The 19,679-nt window shown below is 38.2% G+C and overlaps 1 protein-coding gene across 1 annotated transcript in view, besides 2 other annotated features; it reads left to right on the forward strand.

Moving 5' to 3' along the window:
* Positions 332–381: a silencer, noted in NCBI's record as "silent region_20732". NCBI's record gives its function as "represses an Ori minimal core promoter by ATAC-STARR-seq in GM12878 lymphoblastoid cells {active_cell/tissue: GM12878}" and the evidence as "EXISTENCE:reporter gene assay evidence [ECO:0000049][PMID:35858748]".
* Positions 16,848–19,679, forward strand: part of CYBB (cytochrome b-245 beta chain) — a 33,403-nt gene continuing 30,571 nt past the window's right edge. Inside the window, exons 1-2 of the mRNA NM_000397.4 lie at positions 16,848–16,911; positions 18,877–18,972. Coding sequence (NP_000388.2) covers positions 16,867–16,911; positions 18,877–18,972 — 141 coding nt within the window. The 5' untranslated portion in view covers positions 16,848–16,866. The remainder of the gene's footprint in view (positions 16,912–18,876; positions 18,973–19,679) is intronic.
* Positions 16,890–16,939: an enhancer, noted in NCBI's record as "active region_29519". NCBI's record gives its function as "activates an Ori minimal core promoter by ATAC-STARR-seq in GM12878 lymphoblastoid cells {active_cell/tissue: GM12878}" and the evidence as "EXISTENCE:reporter gene assay evidence [ECO:0000049][PMID:35858748]".

Raw genomic sequence — 19,679 nt, forward strand, 5'->3', positions numbered from 1 at the left:
ACAGAGAAATTCAATAAAGACAATACTTCTGCCTTTACCCTCACTTCCTGCTTTCTCTGAGCCTAGAAATCAGCCAGAGGTAGAAGTTTAAGTTCTTCTTAGCTATTTTCCAAGTATGTATCTTGCCCAGGACATGTGTGTGGGCTTTAGTTTTCCTAGTCTACATGGAAGCTTTTCAAAGCCCTTATTCACCCAAGGAATCTCACACCAAAGATTTTCCTGCCAGAGTTTTATTGTGTCCTTTGTTTGTTCCAAATGTTTTTATTTATTTATTTATTGCCCTAGATGATAGTGGCTTGCTTTTCAAAGTTTTGAGGAAGGAACTTCACATAACCACTTCTCTACCCTGAGAAAGCTCCAAATTAGGTAAAACAAAATTAAGCACCTTGTGTCAGTTCTTCAGGGAACCCCCAAACAGATCAAAACAGACAAACACTATTCTGCTCTGCTGAAACACTTTCTGCTCTGTTGAAACAATATCTGCTCTTCTCCCTTCAGAACCAGGTGCCCACAATCAGAATGAAGAATTCTGTCTGAAGATCACTGTCCCACTGAGAAGGAGTGGGGTGGAACAAAAGTAAAATGCCACAAAGCTATCATGTTGTGCTTTCTCCTGGTTGAGCATTCACTTAGTTGCTGTAAACCTTTCATTATCTTCCAGGGTCCTGAGAAGTTTCATCCTGATTGCTTTTTTCACAGATTTTTCAATGGTTCTGGGGATATACAGGCCCCTAGATTTCCTTACTCCACCTGTATGACTATTAGGCAGCTCAGGCTGCCATAACAGAGTACCAGAGACTTGGTGGCTTAAACAACAAAAAATTAGGATTATTGGATTAGGACTCCACCTTTATGACCTCATTTAAACTTAATTACCTCCTTAAAGATCCTGTCTCCAATTACAGTGACACAGAGGATTAGGTCTTCAACAAATGGGTGTGAGGAGAAAGGGACAAATTACATTGTCTTTTTTGCTGACATCATCTTGACTTCATTATTATTATTATTTTTTAATAAAACGAAAACCTTTCCCAACAATGCTTTACCCTCCTTTGGAAGATTATTGAAGGCTACTTTCAAGGAAGTTTGGAAGAGCTATTATTTGTTTTTCATCCTTTATATTGAGGACAACAGAAAAGAAGGGAGATGATAAAACATTTGGAATAGTCAAGACAATGCCTGCTATGCTGGTATTTAACAAACTAAACTATTCTGGGGAGATGTGAAGTGGAGACAGCCAGAGGGAATCTCATTTTGACTCTAGGGTTGCATTGCTCATGATGCCTCTTTGATTTCAGCTATTTCATCAACATAGTAATTGTATATATTCACCTGAGACCCAAGCATTGCTCATAATTGGGACATATTGCTAGCTGTTTCATGAGAGTTTTGGGATCTATAGTCAAATGTGTATCATAAATCCATGGACCCTTCACCAATTTGATGGGCATGTTTCTTTTCTTTCTTTTTCTTTTCTTCTTTTTTCTTTTTTCTTTTGAGACAGGGTCTCTGTCACCCAGTCTGGAGTGCAGTGGCATGATCACTGCTCACTGCAGCCTCAAACTCTTGGGCTCAAGCAGTCCTCCCACGTCAGCCTCCTGAGTAGCTGGGATTACAGGCACACACTACCATACACAGCTAATTTTTTTATTTTTTATTATTTATTTATTTATTTATTTTGAAGAGACGGGGTCTCACTGTGTTACCCAGACTGATCTCGAACTCCTGGACTCAAGCAATCCCCCAGCCTCAGCGTGCCGAAGTGCTGGGATTACAGGCATGAGCCACCACATCTGGCCAGGCATGTTTCATTTTTAAATCCAATCAGCACTTTTAAAACTGAACCACACTTACAGGACTGATATTTATCCAATTATATATAGATATAGATATTTAAATTTCAAAAGCAAATAGAAAATTTTAAATTACTCCATAGTCATCAATTTTTTAAAAAAATTATGATTTCACTTCCACCAAAATGTTTGCCTGTGTTCAAAATATTTATTTAATCCATTTAGGCCAGGAAAGTTTAGCAAGGAAAATGGGTGTAGTCTCAGAATTATATACAAATATGATTTGAGTCTGAATACCTTCATTTCCTTGAACTGAGGGCAGTATTCACACTTTATGCTTATAGTTTCAAGTTCAGAGTGTGCAGATGTCTTTGCACATCCATGAGAAAGTAAAATCTTGTGATTCATTTGCAGTCTTGCTGATTGACTTTCTTAGGATTCTTTAATTACTGAGATACTCAGTCTCAGAAAGCAATTCTGTAAATCTCCCAAATGGCCACAAATGAATAATCTCATATTAAAGTATAATAAATATTCATTATCTGCTTTACTTTTTTATGTCCACTATAAAACAGGCTGATGAATAACCCCTGGTTTACCAATAGGAAGTTGACAGCAACCTCAGTAAGGTCTTACTGGAGAGAAATGAGGGGAAGCAGATGTTGTGGGTTGAGGTGAGGGAGTGAGATGCCTCAAAATGGCTGAGGCTGTGATAGGGAAGAAAGAGCTTGGCTGGGATTAGGAAGACATGTGCACACCACAAGGATCTGGTTTCATTTTGTTTTTAAATAGAAGCCTGTAAATGTTGTTGATAGGAAGCTAATCTACTTCAATTTAGGACTAGCTTCTGCCTTATCCCACAAGATGACCATTAATTCAAGGTTGATGTTGTGTTGTGCTTGTTAATTAGCTTTATGAAGATATAAACAACAGAAAGGGACTATAAAACAGGAAAAGGAAAACCAGCAATAATTATCGTGTATCCCTTTTTTCCATGATCATCATCATGAACAGGAAAGCCCCTTATCGGCCATATCATTTCTTGGGACAGATATTCTGTTTTATTCCGTGACCTATTCCTAATCTCTGTGAGAACCACTTCTATCCACCATGACATTCTCTTCCACAAACTCCAGAGCAAGCCTCACATCAGGTAACACTGTAAGTTTCTCCACCCAAGAACATCACCCTTTCATTTTACTGTACTGAGCAGTTTAACTCTTCTCTGACTCAACCTCTAACCCCTAGACCAGGCAGTGCCTTTCAATTCCCAAAAAGTCCATCAAAGTGTCTGCCCTACTAGAAGAGCAGCCTCTCCTCAAAACTAATTCCCCAATTCCCAGAGAAATGTGCACACACTGAAGATAGCTTCTGAGGTGTTAGATTTTACAAACCATTTTCTTTTAAAATAATTTCATGCAGAAGATAAAGGTATTACAAAGAAATCCAAGGTACTCCTGATCCAGATTCATCAACTATTAACATTTTGTCACATTTACGTTGTCATTCTCTCTCTCTCCATATGATTATTTTTTTCTATTTTCTTTTTTCTTTTTCTTTCTTTCTTTTTTTTTTTCTTTTTTTTTTTTTCGAGACAGAGTTTTGATCTTGCCACCCAGGATGGAGTGCAATGGCGCGATCTCGGCTCACTGAAACTGCTGCCTCCTGGGTTCAAGCAATTCTCTTGCCTCAGCCTCCCAAGTAGCTGGGATTACAGGATAAGGATCCTGTAATTACATTGGGCCCACCCAGATAATCCATGAAAAACTTTCTTTCTCAATAGCCTTAATTTAATTACACCTGCAAAGTCCCTTTAACCGTATAAGGTAACATATCCACAGGTTCTAGAGATTAGTACCTAGACATCTTTGGTTGGGGGTAATATTTATCCAACTACAAATGGATATGATAATTTTACATACCTCATAAGGTGGTTGTGAAAAATAAATGAGACAAAGCACATAAGACATGTGGTGTGTATAAAATGCTTTGTAAATGTCAGCTGTTGTTAATAAGACCAAGTTGTTTGTAAAAAAAGATTTTTCAAGGAAATAAGCCAATATAATACAGGATGCATACTGAAAAGTTTTAGTTCAAATCAATAACTAGAGATTTCCTCATTTTTCCTTTATTCTGATGAATTAATGTATACAAGTCATATTTAACATAAAGGGGTAAAATGTAAATCTTCATCGCCAGACATTTTCATTTTCTATTAAGTGAAATGCCAGTAAAAGCCACATTCTTAATGCCTTTAATTGCCTAGATCAGTACACTAACCCTTCTTCCCCGAATACCTCTTCTTCTACTTTGTTATTTTCTCTCCCAAACAAGAGATAGAACATTTGGATCCCATTCCAGCAAACTTCTTCAACTTTTATTAACTCTTGAGATTCTGGTGATGAAATAAAAGTGAGTTTCTTTATACCATGATTTACTGAGAACCCTTCTTGATATAAGCAGTAGAAATACAACTGGAACTGTTTTCCTTAAGCAGAAAGTGGCAGTGGTGGGAATTTATGGCTTCTGTAGCCAGGTTAAATACAGTGATGTGGCAACCAGGTCCAAGATCTTGCCCAAGATCACTCAAGGTCATCCCAGCTTCAGATCTCCTCGTGGGATTGCTGAGGCCTTATTGTGACCACATGATAACTCAACTGCTCCTTCTGCCCACTTCTGCTTTCTTATTTTTCATTGCCTTTTACAGCTATTTACCTCTAAGAACACTCCCTAATGAAACTCCTGCACACTAAACTCCATCTCAGAATCTGCTTCCCAGGAAACCCAATCTAAAAGAATAATTGAGAGGTCCAAGTATCTCAGGCAGATCAGACTCAATAATTCAAACACTGTAATCACATCTGTCTCCAGACTTCTCTATCCTTCCCTAAATACTGATTATGATTTTGTTTGTGTTGACATAATTTTTATGTAGCTATTTAGCACAAGGTGGTCCAAATGGCCTATGGCAGCATCAGGCATACATCATTCACAAAGAGAGAAAAGCTTGACTTTCTCTTCTCCAAAGTTCCTAAAACTCCACCCCACCATGCAAAAAACTAATTGGTCTTCCTTGGGTTAAATGCCCACCCCTGGGACAAACACTGAGTCCAGAGGAATGAAGTCATTGCAGTAGCCATCCTTAGGCAAGGAATGTGGGGCTACACAAATCATAGAAGGATATAGAGTGGGAGCATGATGGTTCTGGAAAGAATAGGATACATGGCAGAGATAAAGGGAACAGAAATCCATTTTTCATTAGCACAAGGAATAAAACTCATTAAGAACCTTGGCATAGTAACACATCTCTCTTTCATCAGCAATTTCATACATGCACCTTGACGTAATTAGGAACATAATTTTGTGGTTGAAATTTATTTTTATTATTGTGACAGTCTACAACTACTGTATTATTCCATTTCAGAAATTTTTTGACTATGAGTTTTAACCTACTATGGAAAGCATAATATTGAGGTTTATAATAAAAAATTATATTTGATTTGAAGTAAAAAGGTCCAGAGCACATTCTCTCACTAACTGGCTATAATCTCAAGAAAGCAACCAAGCTTTTCTGAAACTTAGTTTCCTAAGTAAAATGTGGACCACTGGGGTGGAGCCAAGATGGCCGAATAGGAACAGCTCCAGTCTACAGCTCCCAGCGTGAGCGATGCAGAAGACGGATGATTTCTGCATTTCCAACCAAGGTACCGGGTTCATCTCACTGGGGAGTGTCGGAAAGTGGGTGCAGGACAGTGGGTGCAGTGCACCGAGCGTGAGCCGAAGCAGAGCGAGGCATCGCCTCACCCAGGAAGCACAAGGGGTCAGGGAATTCCCTTTCCTAGTTAAAGAAAGGGGTGACAGACGGCACCTGGAAAATCGGGTCACTCCCGCCCTAATACTGCGCTTTTCCAACGGTCTTAGCAAATGGCACACAAGGAGATTATATCCCGCACCTGGCTCAGAGGGTCCTATGCCCACAGAGCCTGGTTCATTGCTAGCACAGCACTCTGAGATCAAACTGCAAGGCGGCAGTGAGGCTGGGGGAGGGGCGCACGCCATTGCCCAGGCTTGAGTAGGTAAACAAAGTGGCCAGGAAGCTTGAACTGGGTGGAGCCCACCTCAGCTCAAGGAGGCCTGCCTGCCTCTGTAGACTCCACCACTGGGGGCAGGGCATGGCCAAACAAAAGGCAGCAGTATCCTCTGCAGACTTAAATGTCCCTGTCTGACAGCTTTGAAGGAGTAGTGGTTCTCCCAGCATGGAATTTGAGATCTGAGAATGGGCAGACTGCCTCCTCAAGTTGGTCCCTGTCCCACAAGTAGCCTAACTGGGAGGCACCCCCCAGCAGGGGCAGACTGACACCTCACACGGCCGGCTACTCCTCTGGGACAAAACTTCCAGAGGAACAAACAGGCAGCAACATTTGCTGCTCACCAATATCCATTGTTCTGCAGCCTCCGCTGCTGGTACCCAGGCAAACAGGGTCTGGAGGGGACCTCCAACAAACTCCAACAGACCTGCAGCTGAGGGTCCTGACTGTTAGAAGGAAAACTAACAAACAGAAAGGACATCCACACCAAAACCCCATCTGTACGTCACCATCATCAAAGACCAAAGGTAGATAAAACCACAAAGATGGGGAAAAAACAGAGCAGAAAAACTGGAAACTCTAAAAATCAGAGCGCCTCTCCCCCTCCAAAGGGATGCAGCTCCTCACCAGCAATGGAACAAAGCTGGATGGAGAATGACTTTGACGAGTTGAGAGAAGAAGGCTTCAGACGATCAAACTACTCCAAGCTAAAGGAGGACGTTCGAACCCATGGCAAAGAAGTTAAAAACCTTGAAAAAAAATTAGACGAATGGCTAACTAGAATAACCAATGCAGAGAAGTCCTTAAAGGACCTGATGGAGCTGAAAACCAAGGCTCGAGAACTAAGTGAAGAATGCAGAAGCCTCAGGAGCCGATGCGATCAACTGGAAGAAAGGGTATCAGTGATGGAAGATGAAGTGAATGAAATGAAGCGAGAAGGGAAGTTTAGAGAAAAAAGAATAAAAAGAAATGAACAAAGCCTCCAAGAAATATGGGACTATGTGAAAAGACCAAATCTACGTCTGATTGGTGTACCTGAAAGTGACGGGGAGAATGGAACCAAGTTGGAAAACACTCTGCAGGATATCATCCAGGAGAACTTCCCCAATGTAGCAAGGCAGGCCAACATTCAGATTCAGGAAATACAGAGAACCCCACAAAGATACTCCTCGAGAAGAGCAACTCCAAGATACATAACTGTCAGATTCACCAAAGTTGAAATGAAGGAAAAAACGTTAAGGGTAGCCAGAGAGAAAGGTCGGGTTACCCACAAAGGGAAGCCCATCAGACTAACAGCGGATCTCTCAGCAGAAACTCTACAAGCCAGAAGAGAGTGGGGGCCAATATTCAACATTCTTAAAGAAAAGAATTTTCAACCCAGAATTTCATATCCAGCCAAACTAAGCTTCATAAGTGAAGGAGAAATAAAATACTTTACAGACAAGCAAATGCTGAGAAACTTTGTCACCACCGGGCCTGCCCTAAAAGAGCTCCTGAAGGAAGCACTAAACATGGAAAGGAACAAATGGTACCAGCCACTGCAAAAACATGCCAAATTGTAAAGACCATCAAGGCTAGGAAGAAACCGCATCAACTAACAAACAAAATAACCAGCTAACATCATAATGACAGGATCAAATTCACACATAACAATATTAACCTTAAATGTAAATGGGCTAAATGCTCCAATTCAAAGCCACAGACTGGCAAATTAGATAAAGAGTCAAGACCCATCAGTGTGCTGTATTCAGGGAACCCATCTCACTTGCGGATACACACATAGGCTCAAAATAAAGGTATGGAGGAAGATCTACCAAGCAAATGGAAAACAGAAAAGGGCAGGGGTTGCAATCCTAGTCTCTGATAAAACAGACTTTAAACCTACAAAGATCAAAAGAGACAAAGAAGGGCATTACATGATAGTAAAGGGATCAATTCAACAAGAAGAGCTAACTATCCTAAATGTATATGCATCCAATACAGGAGCACCCAGATTCATAAAGCAAGTCCTTAGAGACCTAGAAAGACACTTAGACTCCCACACAATAATAATGGGAGACTTTAACACCCCACTGTCAACATTAGACAGATCAACGAGACAGAAAGTTAACAAGGATATCCAGGAATTGAACTCAGCTCTGCACCAAGCAGACCTAATAGACATCTACAGAACTCTCCACCCCAAATCAACAGAATAGACATTCTTTTCAGCACCACACCACACCTATGCCAAAATTGACCACATAGTTGGAAGTAAAGCACTCCTCAGCAAATGTAAAAGAACAGAAATTATAACAAACTGTCTCTCAGACCACAGTGCAATCAAACTAGAACTCAGGATTAAGAAACTCACTGAAAACCACTCAACCACATGGAAACTGAACAACCTGCTCCTGAATGACTACTGGGTACATAACGAAATGAAGGCAGAAATAAAGATGTTCTTTGAAACCAAAGAGAACAAAGACACAACATACCAGAATCTCTTGGACACATTCAAAGCAGTGTGTAGAGGGAAATTTATAGCACTAAATGCCCACAGGAGAAAGCAGGAAAGATCTAAAATTGACACCCTAACATCACAATTAAAAGAACTAGAGAAGCAAGAGCAAACACATTCAAAAGCTAGCAGAAGGCAAGAAATAACTAAGATCAGAGCAGAACTGAAGGAAATAGAGACACAAAAAAACACTTCAAAAAATCAATGAATCCAGGAGCTAGTTTTTTGAAAAGATCAACAAAATTGATAGACTGCTAGCAAGACTAATAAAGAAGAAAAGAGAGAAGAATCAAATAGATGCAATAAAAAATGATAAAGGGGATATTATCACCGATCCCACAGAAATACAAACTACCATCAGAGAATACTATAAACACCTCTATGCAAATAAACTAGAAAATCTAGAGGAAATGGATAAATTCTTCGACACATACACCCTCCCAAGACTAAACCAGGAAGAAGTTGAATCTCTGAATAGACCAATAACAGGCTCTGAAATTGAGGCAATAATTAATAGCTTACCAACCAAAAAAAGTCCAGGACCAGATAGATTCACAGTCAAATTCTACCAGAGGTACAAGGAGGAGCTGGTACCATTCCTTCTGAAACTATTCCAATTAATAGAAAAAGAGGGAATCCTCCCTAACTCATTTTATGAGGCCAGCATCATCCTGACACCAAAGCCTGGCAGAGACACAACCAAAAAAGAGAATTTTAGACCAATATCCCTGATGAACATTGATGCAAAAATCCTCAATAAAATACTGACAAACCGAATCCAGCAGCACATCAAAAAGCTTATCCACCATGATCAAGTGGGCTTCATCCCTGGGATGCAAGGCTGGTTCAACATATACAAATCAATAAATGTAATCCAGCATATAAACAGAACCAACGACAAAAACCATATGATTATCTCAACAGATGCAGAAAAGGCCTTTGACAAAATTCAACAACCCTTCATGCTAAAAACTCTCAATAAATTAGGTATTGATGAGATTTATCTCAAAATAATAAGAGCTATCTATGACAAACCCACAGCCAATATCATACTGAATGGGCAAAAACTGGAAGCATTCCCTTTGAAAACAGGCACAAGACAGGGATGCCCTCTCTCACCACTCCTATTCAACATAGTGTTGGAAGTTCTGGCCAGGGCAATCAGGCAGGAGAAGGAAATAAAGGGTATTCAATTAGGAAAAGAGGAAGTCAAATTGTCCCTGTTTGCAGATGACATGATTGTATATCTAGAAAACCCCATCTTCTCAGCCCGAAATCTCCTTAAGCTGATAAGCAACTTCAGCAAAGTCTCAGGATACAAAATCAATGTACAAAAATCACAAACATTCTTATACACCAATAAAAGACAAACAGAGAGCCAAATCATGAGTGAACTCCCATTCACAGTTGCTTCAAAGAGAATAAAATACCTAGGAATCTAACTTACAAGGGATGTGAAGGACTTCTTCAAGGAGAACTACAAACCATGGCTCAATGAAATAAAAGAGGATACAAACAAATGGAAGAACATTCAATTCTCATGGATAGGAAGAATCAATATCGTGAAAATGGCCATACTGCCCAAGGTAATTTATAGATTCAATGCCATCCCCATCAAGCTACCAATGACTTTCTTCACAGAATTGGAAAAAACTACTTTAAAGTTCATATGGAACCAAAAAAGAGCCCGCATTGCCAAGTCAATCCTAAGCCAAAAGAACAAAGCTGGAGGCATCACGCTGCCTGATTTCATACTATACTACAAGGGTACAATAACCAAAACAGCATGGTACTGGTACCAAAACAGAGATATAGACCAATGGCACAGAACAGAGCCCTCAGAAATAATACTGCATATCTACAACCATCTGATCTTTGACAAACCTGACAAAAACAAGAAATGGGGAAACAATTCCCTATTTAATAAATGGTGCTGGGAAAACTGGCTAGCAATATGTAGAAAGCTGAAACTGGATCCCTTCCTTACACCTTATACAAAAATTAATTCAAGATGGATTAAAGACTTAAATGTTAGACCTAAAACCATAAAAACCCTAGAAGAAAACCCAGGCAATACCATTCAGGACATAGGCATGAGCAAGGACTTCATGTCTAAAACACCAAAAGCAATGGCAACAAAAGCCAAAATTGACAAATGGGATCTAATTAAACTAAAGAGCTTCTGCACAGCAAAAGAAACTACCATCAGAGTGAACAGGCAACCTACAGAATGGGAGAAAATTTTTGCAATCTACTCATCTGACAGAGGGCTAATATCCAGAATCTACAAAGAACTCAAACAAATTTACAAGAAAAAAAGCAAACAACCCCATCAACAAGTGGGCAAAGGATATGAACAGATACTTCTCGAAAGAAGACATTTATGCAGCCAAAAGACACATGAAAAAATGCCCATCATCACTGGGCATCAGAGAAAATCAAATCAAAATGACAATGAGATACCATCTCACACCAGTTAGAATGGTGATCATTAAAAAGTCAGGAAACAACGGGTGCTGGAGAGGATGTGGAGAAATAGGAACACTTTTACACTGTTGGTGGGACTGGAAACTAGTTCAACCATTGTGGAAGTCAGTGTGGCGATTCCTCAGGGATCTAGAACTAGAAATACTATTTGACCCAGCAATCCCATTACTGGATATATAACCAGAGGTTTATAAATCATGCTGCTATAAAGACACATGCACACGTATGTTTATTGCGGCACTATTCACAATAGCAAAGACTTGGAACCAACCCAAATGTCCAGCAATGATAGACTGGATTAAGAAAATGTGGCACATATACACCATGGAATACTATGCAGCTATAAAAAAGGATGAGTTCGTGTCCTTTGTAGGGACGTGGATGAAGCTGGAAACCATCATTCTCAGCAAACTATCGCAAGGACAAAAAACCAAACACCGCATGTTCTCACTCATAGGTGGGAATTGAACAATGAGAACACATGGACACAGGAAGGGGAACATCACACTCTGGGGACTGTTGTGGGGTGGGGGGAGTGGGGAGGGATAGCATTAGGAGATATACCTAATGTCAAATGACGAGTTAATGGGTGCAGCACACCAACATGGCACATGTATACATATGTAACTAACCTGCACGTTGTGCACATGTACCCTAAAACTTAAAGTATAATAAAAAAAAATGTGGACCACTGGGCAATCACTGGGCAGTCATAAAGATAAAATAACATATATACATGAAAGTGTTACGCATAATGTAAAAAGCTTATAGAAAAAATAATCATTTCTCAGGTATGAAGCTACATTTTAATAACCTGAAAATATTTTAAGTAATACATTTATTATGCATATATTTTCAAAGACAAGAATGATGTTATTGATTATGGTAATATGAAGGTTACCTCAGATTGTTACCACTTTCAACCTGCTCACAATGTAAATTCTGTTATCAATAACTAATAATAGAAAAGAACATATTATTATATATTCCTGTTAAACTTTTCAAATATAGTACACGTAACTCTGTGAACAAATCTTCCCTCTAGGGCGTTCCCTAGAAAGTCCTCGATTTAGCTAGCAGTGTTTGCAAGTTTGCATTTTCTCTAACAATTCTTAATCAATCACCATCATCATCATGGTCATATCAATTGCTAAACATGTCCTGTGACTATGTGATAGTCCAGGCATCAATCTAAAATCTAAAAAGATTTGTGCTTTACAATCCACAGTGAAAGAATAAACAAGGCAATGCTTTAAATAGAGTTTTTTTTTAAATTAATCTTTTCTTTATATCAACTTGGATATAATTAGGCAAAAATTGGGAAAATATGTGTCATATCTAATATCAGTTTCTCACAGTGCCAAATTAATTAACTAGAATAATGGTGATTAAACTCTATAGACTACTTGATTATTGCAGAGGAATATAATTTTTAATTTAAGCTTTCAAGAATAAATCTTAGACTGCAAAATCAGGGAATTTTCTGGATTTGGGTCTACTTCTCTTCTCTCATTTTTTTCTCAACCAGAGATGTTTGGGATTTCAATCACAAGTGTGAGGATATTGGACATTACTGCATAATGGGTATGGTGAGTACTTCCTTATGTTCACCACAGTCTAGTTTGCTACTAACAGCTTAGGAGAGAATGAAAGCCAATGAGGGTGGGAGAAGATAAACTGTTAGCTAATGCATACAGGTTCAGTTTTCTTCATCTCCATGTCTAGTCAATGCCTTTCAACTAATACCTGTTACTCTTTCATCAAACTTTCTGCCTGCCTTTCTAAGAGCAGTGCACATTACATTTTACTTAGCCAGTGTTCTCAAAAGGGAAGTTAGTAACTTTCTGTAAAAGAAAGACTTTACTCTTCATTGCAACTGATCTCTCTCTCTCCCACTGTAAAACTGATTGAGGTGCTTAAGGTTCTCAAGAAATTGCTACTCATAGCCCTGTGATTACTTTTATAAAGGCGGGGGGGAGGGGAAATCAGTAGAATGGAATGGTTGATTACTCAGGGAAAAGATTCTTTCTTTTTTGAATTTTCTTCTCAAATTATGGAGGGAAGGAAAGGGAGTGGGAAAATGTTCAAGAAATAAGTTTATGTGAAACTGGGAATGTTATTTCCTGGTATATGCAGATTAATGATCCCTTTGTCATTGCCTCCCCAGCAGAGCACAGGCTTCAGGAGGCAGGTGGAAAAGTATGAGAAAGGCTTGAAAATTTAAGTGGGATAAAGGAAGATGATCCAATAGGCAGAGAAAGAGAACAGTGGGGATAAGTACAGAGGAAAAGACTGATGAGTTCCAAGAGCTTATGGTGAAGCAGTCATCTTTGTAGAGGAGTTTGAGAGTGGCAGAGATGAGGAGAGAAAGTGGATTTTTAAATATGTTTTATTTTTCTTTGGGTATAAAGGCCTCACTTCTTTGAATACATGAAAAAAATAAGTACAGATATGAGTAACTTTTTTGTTTCAGTCAAAAAACAGAAACCACTGTATTTCAACAGGGGGAATTTCATACCAGGAAATTTGTTACATGGATTATGGAAAAGTAGAGAATCCCAACATGGGGTGCAGAGGCAACATAATATAAAGATGAACAACTACAGGAAGTGGTTACCACCCTAGGGGTTAGAGGGAAACTAGGAGGTGGTGGTGTAACTTGAGTTCAGAAGCCAGGGCCACCTGGCAGAATCTTGAGCTACAGTGGTGATGGCTAGGACTAGCTCATGCCACAGGGGGAGAGGCTGACTGGTGAAAGTTGGAGCCTCAGTGCAGATGCAGCCCCTTCATGGATGCCACTTAAAGCAGAAAGCTCAGGGAAGAAACACTATGGCTTATCTCCTGCTATCCATTCTCCAATTCAGCTAAACATACTAGAAGCCAGAGGGCCAAGGAGCCTGGCAATACAATTTTCTCTGAAACACAGTAGAGCAAGGAAAGTGGGGAATAGACCTGAGAGCAAGAGGCAAATAATTGGCACATGTTTTAATTGTCTAAGTGTGTTTCTTTGAATTCATCTCTGTGTGGAACAGAACCACGAGACTAACTTCTCTTTATGTGGTTTACACATGGTCTAAGAGCCATAGCATTCTAAAAAGTACCTTTCCTTGAATATTAAGAAGTGAAAAACACTACTACTTTGCTAATTATCGTAATTACAGAAGCTTCCCAAGTAGTTCATGGACAACAATCAAAAGAGTACTTATGTCTTTTTTTTCCTTCTTTTGTTCCCTTTCACTCCTCCCATTTCTTTTTTTTTTACCTCCATATTAGCTATAACTGCTGTACAACTACCCTTGTGCAATTAGTCAATATTGATCTCATAATGGGGTTACTATCCTACCTTCCTGTCTCTTTCATGTCTTGAAGAGTGGGTACCAACAAGGGAAATGATGCTACATTTAGCTTTTGGCATCTACCATATCTGACATATCTTTGTGCTGACCCTGTTTACTCACTTAGCATATAGGATGTCATGTTTGCCTGGAAACATGATTGCCATCTAAACATTTTGGTATATTTCTTGTATTTTGTCATGTTTTCCTATAGTTGTATGTGGAGTGATTTAATGTAGGGTTTTTAGTGTAGGCATAGTAAGGCTTTTTTCTAGTATCTTGGTCAAAAGTATAACCAAATTTCTTGGGTTTTAAATCCCAACTCTACTATTTGCTAGTTATGTGAACTTGGCCAAGTAACTGAACTGCTCTGGAACTCAGTTTCCTTATCTGTAAATATAATCATAATAATAGAATCTGCTTTACAGTGGTTGAGTTGTGAGGATCAAATGAATTGATGTGTGTGTGTTTGCATGTGTGTCTATATGTGTAATACACACATATATGCAGTCATATCACTTAACTATGGGGGATTTGTTCTGAGAAATGTATCCTTAGGTGATTTTGTTGTTGTGTGAAAATCATAGAGTGTATTTACATAAACCTGATGGTATAGTCTACTACACGCCTAGGCTACATGGTATAGCCTATGGCTGCTAGGCTACAAACCTTATCGTTTTTTATTGTACTGAATACTGTCAGAGATTCTAACACAATGGTATCTAACCATAGTTAACCATAGAAAATAGACAATAAAAATAAAGTATAAAAGATTAAAAATGGTACACCTGTATAAGGCACTTACCATGAGTAGAGCTTGGAGAACTAGAAGTTACTCTATGTGTCAGTGAGTGAGTGGTGAATGGATAGGAAGGCCTAGAACATTTTTGTACACTCCTATAGATTTTATGAACACTGTACACTTAGGCTATACTAAATATGCAAAACATTTTGTTTTTTCAATAATGAAATAAATTTAGCTTACTGTAACTTTTTATTTATAAACTTTTGCTTTTTTAATTTCTTGACTCTTTTGTAATAACCCTAAGCTTAAAACAAAAAAAATTTTACAGCTGTACAAAAATGTTTTAATATCCATATCTAGAAGCTTTATTCTGTTTTTAAATTTTTTATTTTTATATTTTACCTTTAAAACATTTTTGTTAAAAGCTAAGACACAAACATACACATTAGCCTAGGCCCACACAAAGTCAGGATCATTAATATCACTGTCTTCCACCTCCACATTTTGCCCCACTGGACAGTCTTCAAGGGCACTAACATGCATGAAGCTGTCATCTATGACAGCAATGCATTCTTCTGGAATACCTTCTGAAGGACCTGCCTGAGATTCTTTTACAGTTAACTTTTTTATAAGTAGGAGTATACTCTAAAATAATGATTAAAAGTATAGTCTAGTAAATAAATGAACCAGTAACATAGTCATCTATTTTTACTATCAAGTACTATGTAATGTACATAATTGTATGTGCTATACTTTTACAACTGGCAGCTCAGTAGGTTTGTTTACACCAGCATTGCCACAAACACATGAGTAATGTGTTATGCTACAATGTCACTAGATGGTAGGAATTTTTCAGCACACACACACAAGTATATATATTATATATTATATTATATATTATATATATATGTATATATATATATATATATATAGAGAGAGAGAGAGAGAGAGAGAGAGAGAGAGATGGAGTCTTGCTCTGTCGCCCAGGCTGGGGTGCAATGACACAATCTCGGCTCACTGCAACCTGACTCCCAGGTTCAAGTGATTCTCCTGCCTCAGCCTCCTGAGTAGCTGGGACTACAGGTGCCCACCACCATGCCCAGCTAATTTTTGTATTTTTAGTAGAGACGGGGTTTCACCATGTTGGCCAGATTGGTCCCAAACTCCTGACCTCAAGTGATCCACCCCACTCAGCCTCTCAAAGTGCTGGGATTACAGGCGTGAGCCACCGTGCCTGGCCAACACCATTATAATCTTATGGGACCACTGTCATACATGTGGTTCATCATTGGCCAAAGCATCTGTATTTATATATGTATGTTTCAAATTATATATATATATATATATATATATATATATATATATATGATAGCTATACATGAACATACACACACACATATATAGACATATATAGCACATAAAATTGGCACATATTAAGCATTTTGTAAATATCAACCATTACAATTGTTACTACTTTTCTCAGCAAGGCTATGAATGCTGTTCCAGCCTGTCAAAATCACACCTGTTTAATGTGTTTTACCCAGCACGAAGTCATGTCTAGTTGAGTGGCTTAAAAATTGTGATCAAATAGCTGGTTAGTTAAAAAGTTATTTCACTGTGTAAAATACATCCCTTAAAATGCACTGTTATTTATCTCTTAGTTGTAGAAATTGGTTTCATTTTCCACTATGTTTAATTGTGACTGGATCATTATAGACCCTTTTTTTGTAGTTGTTGAGGTTTAAAGATTTAAGTTTGTTATGGATGCAAGCTTTTCAGTTGACCAATGATTATTAGCCAATTTCTGATAAAAGAAAAGGAAACCGATTGCCCCAGGGCTGCTGTTTTCATTTCCTCATTGGAAGAAGAAGCATAGTATAGAAGAAAGGCAAACACAACACATTCAACCTCTGCCACCATGGGGAACTGGGCTGTGAATGAGGGGCTCTCCATTTTTGTCATTGTAAGTACCAACAAGAGATAAGTTATAAATTCTCTGACTTCTCGGGGTTATCTTGGAACTAAAATAGACCAAAGCTTTTTTGTTCATTTGAGGAATTGTGTTGAAACTGATTTACCATGTGAACCTATATCTATCTGTAAACAGACTGAGTCCATTCTTCCAAATTCCTTAATGGAAAGAACATATCTGGGGGCTCACTTCTAGCTTACTTCTGAATTCCTAGGAGGAATAAATTAGCCAGCATTTCGCAGAAGGAGTAGAAAATATTTCATGCTAATGATCTCTGATTCTGAGTTGTTTAGTAATGTTTACTCAGACGCACATGTCTATGTGTTTATACTACTTTAAAAATGACAAATTGAAATTTTATACCATTTTCTAAATAAAAAATATAAGATTGACTCATGTATGGGAAGTAGGCCTTTATTTCAGTAATTACACTAAATATAATAAAACTTCTCAAATTTATTTTCAAAAACAAGTACCTTCTTTTTTCAGAGATCTAAACTTGAGTTATTTATAAGATTTATAAAAATTCAAAAGAACAGAATTGAAATAAGTCATCTAGATTCATAAATATGTAGTATGTATATTTATATATAATTGTATATATATATAAATCAATATAGTCTGGAGAAACTATGTAAGTAAAGATATAGCTAATTTACAAGTGGACAGAATGATTTCTGTACTTTTTAAAACAAAGAAAATCAACTGTTCTCTTAAAATGGTGTTATCAGCAAAGCAATAATGGACAAATTGGGTAGATAGAAATACGATTTTTAAATAGCCTTTCTAAATAACCAATAGAAGCATTACACAGATGTTAAAAAGTACAATTATGAATGGAATATGAATGGAGCTTTTGTAAAAATTTATCATGAAAAATAATGAGTCTTTGAGTTTTAAATATAGAAAGCAATTAGTGGCACAAATAAAAACAACAAATATTTTGTTATAAAAAATGTTTACGCCAAACCAACATTCTACTGCAACAGAGAATTCTTCCGAGTATTCGAAGCTGTAAACTTAACTTCTTATCACCATTTTTAAGGGCAAATAATTTCTATAGAAAGTAAGTTCAAATTAAACTTTTAGCTCTCGCCACAATTTTTCCCAGGAAATGACCTCCTTCTAAATTATATACTCATGCACTTGAAAGTGAAAACACAGCTTGGAAAGTCAGAGTAAAGAAAGAATGACAAGATCAGGAAATTGGGAAGTTGCTTTAGCACTTTTTTCTTTGTAAAGAGAGAATATTATCAAGTGTCTAGAGCATATAATAGCTTCAAAGCATAGTTGAGAAAAGATCACTATGGAGCTGAAGGTAGAGAACTGGGTAGTGTGACCACTTGATCCAGTCAGTGCTTAGGATAAAATGAACTGTCATGATCTAGAAAGCTGTTTTTGTTGTAAATCCCAAGCCCCTCACTATGCTCAATATTCTCTCCTTGAAGCATTAAGTAAAACTAATCAAGGAAAATGGAAGGCTTGGCATTTTAGCTGATGAGAATTCACTAGCTGGATTACTGTGTGGTAGAGGGAGGTGATTAGCACCTGTGAGAACAGAACGCAGTGTCATACTGGTGGAGGGAAAGCAATAGTAATATGTTCCCTTCCTTTCTCATTTTAAGTGGAGTGGCCTGCTATCAGCTACCTATCCAAGGTTAAGCAAAAGAGAGGGGAAAAAAAGGGAGTGGGGTAATGTAAGACTGATAATTTGGTATACTGGCCAAATCATAAAACAATCATGGGGAACAACACAGGGTGGAGAGGTTTTAATTATAGACAAGTGTAGTGACACTGTTGAGGAAAGAGCTGGCTCTAAGCTGGTTATATCCAGCTTTGTCACTACCTTTGTCAAAGTTGGACTTGGGGAAGTCCTGACCCTTATCTGACTCCAGTCTTGTGTGGAATCTACTGTGGAAATGCGGAAACTTCATGCAATTATTTCTGTTTGTGCAGCTGGTTTGGCTGGGGTTGAACGTCTTCCTCTTTGTCTGGTATTACCGGGTTTATGATATTCCACCTAAGTTCTTTTACACAAGAAAACTTCTTGGGGTAAGTATAAATTCCATCCCATGCAATATTGGCTGGTTCACATTTCTCATCAGACATTCTTGTTCATCTTCCTGTTAGCATTTTAAATACATATTCTGACCAACCCAAACAGTACCATTAGCCTCACTCCCTCCATTGCAACTTCCTGGGCAACAGTCACTTAAAGCCTTCCAGTCTGGGACCAACAAAAGTGGGGCAGAGGGCCCCAGTGGCATCCTTCCCCAACCAAGAACCATGTGCCATTGTTTAGCTTAAAGGAGAAATCTAATACTCACTCTGAAATGGAAGGGCAGGTTGGAGCAATCCATCCAGGAGTGACACATGTGGGACAAGTGGGACTTTCCATATTTTCTAAGTCACCTAATTCCTAGTACTTTTTTGCATGAAGAGCTCTGCTCCTAATCACATGTTATGAAATGATCTTCAGAAAATAAATCTCTCTCTACATATAAAGACTCGAGGAACTTGCTCAAGGGCCACATCTGTTGACTAGGACAGTAGAGTGAAGGCCCTTCAGTTTCCTTGGGTCCTTTAGTATTCTGAGTTTCCTTGAACTGTCAGGCCTCTTGCCTCCAGAAGACATCTGTTACATCATGCTGAAACTATGAATTAATTGCTTAATATTAATTATTATAAGTATTATAAATCATAAATAAATAATTTTAGCATATAATTATGCTAGATCATTATAATTGTTGTTAGCTTAT

This window comes from Homo sapiens, chromosome X (genome assembly GCF_000001405.40).
Source record: "Homo sapiens chromosome X, GRCh38.p14 Primary Assembly".
Taxonomy (NCBI): Eukaryota; Metazoa; Chordata; class Mammalia; order Primates; family Hominidae; genus Homo; species Homo sapiens.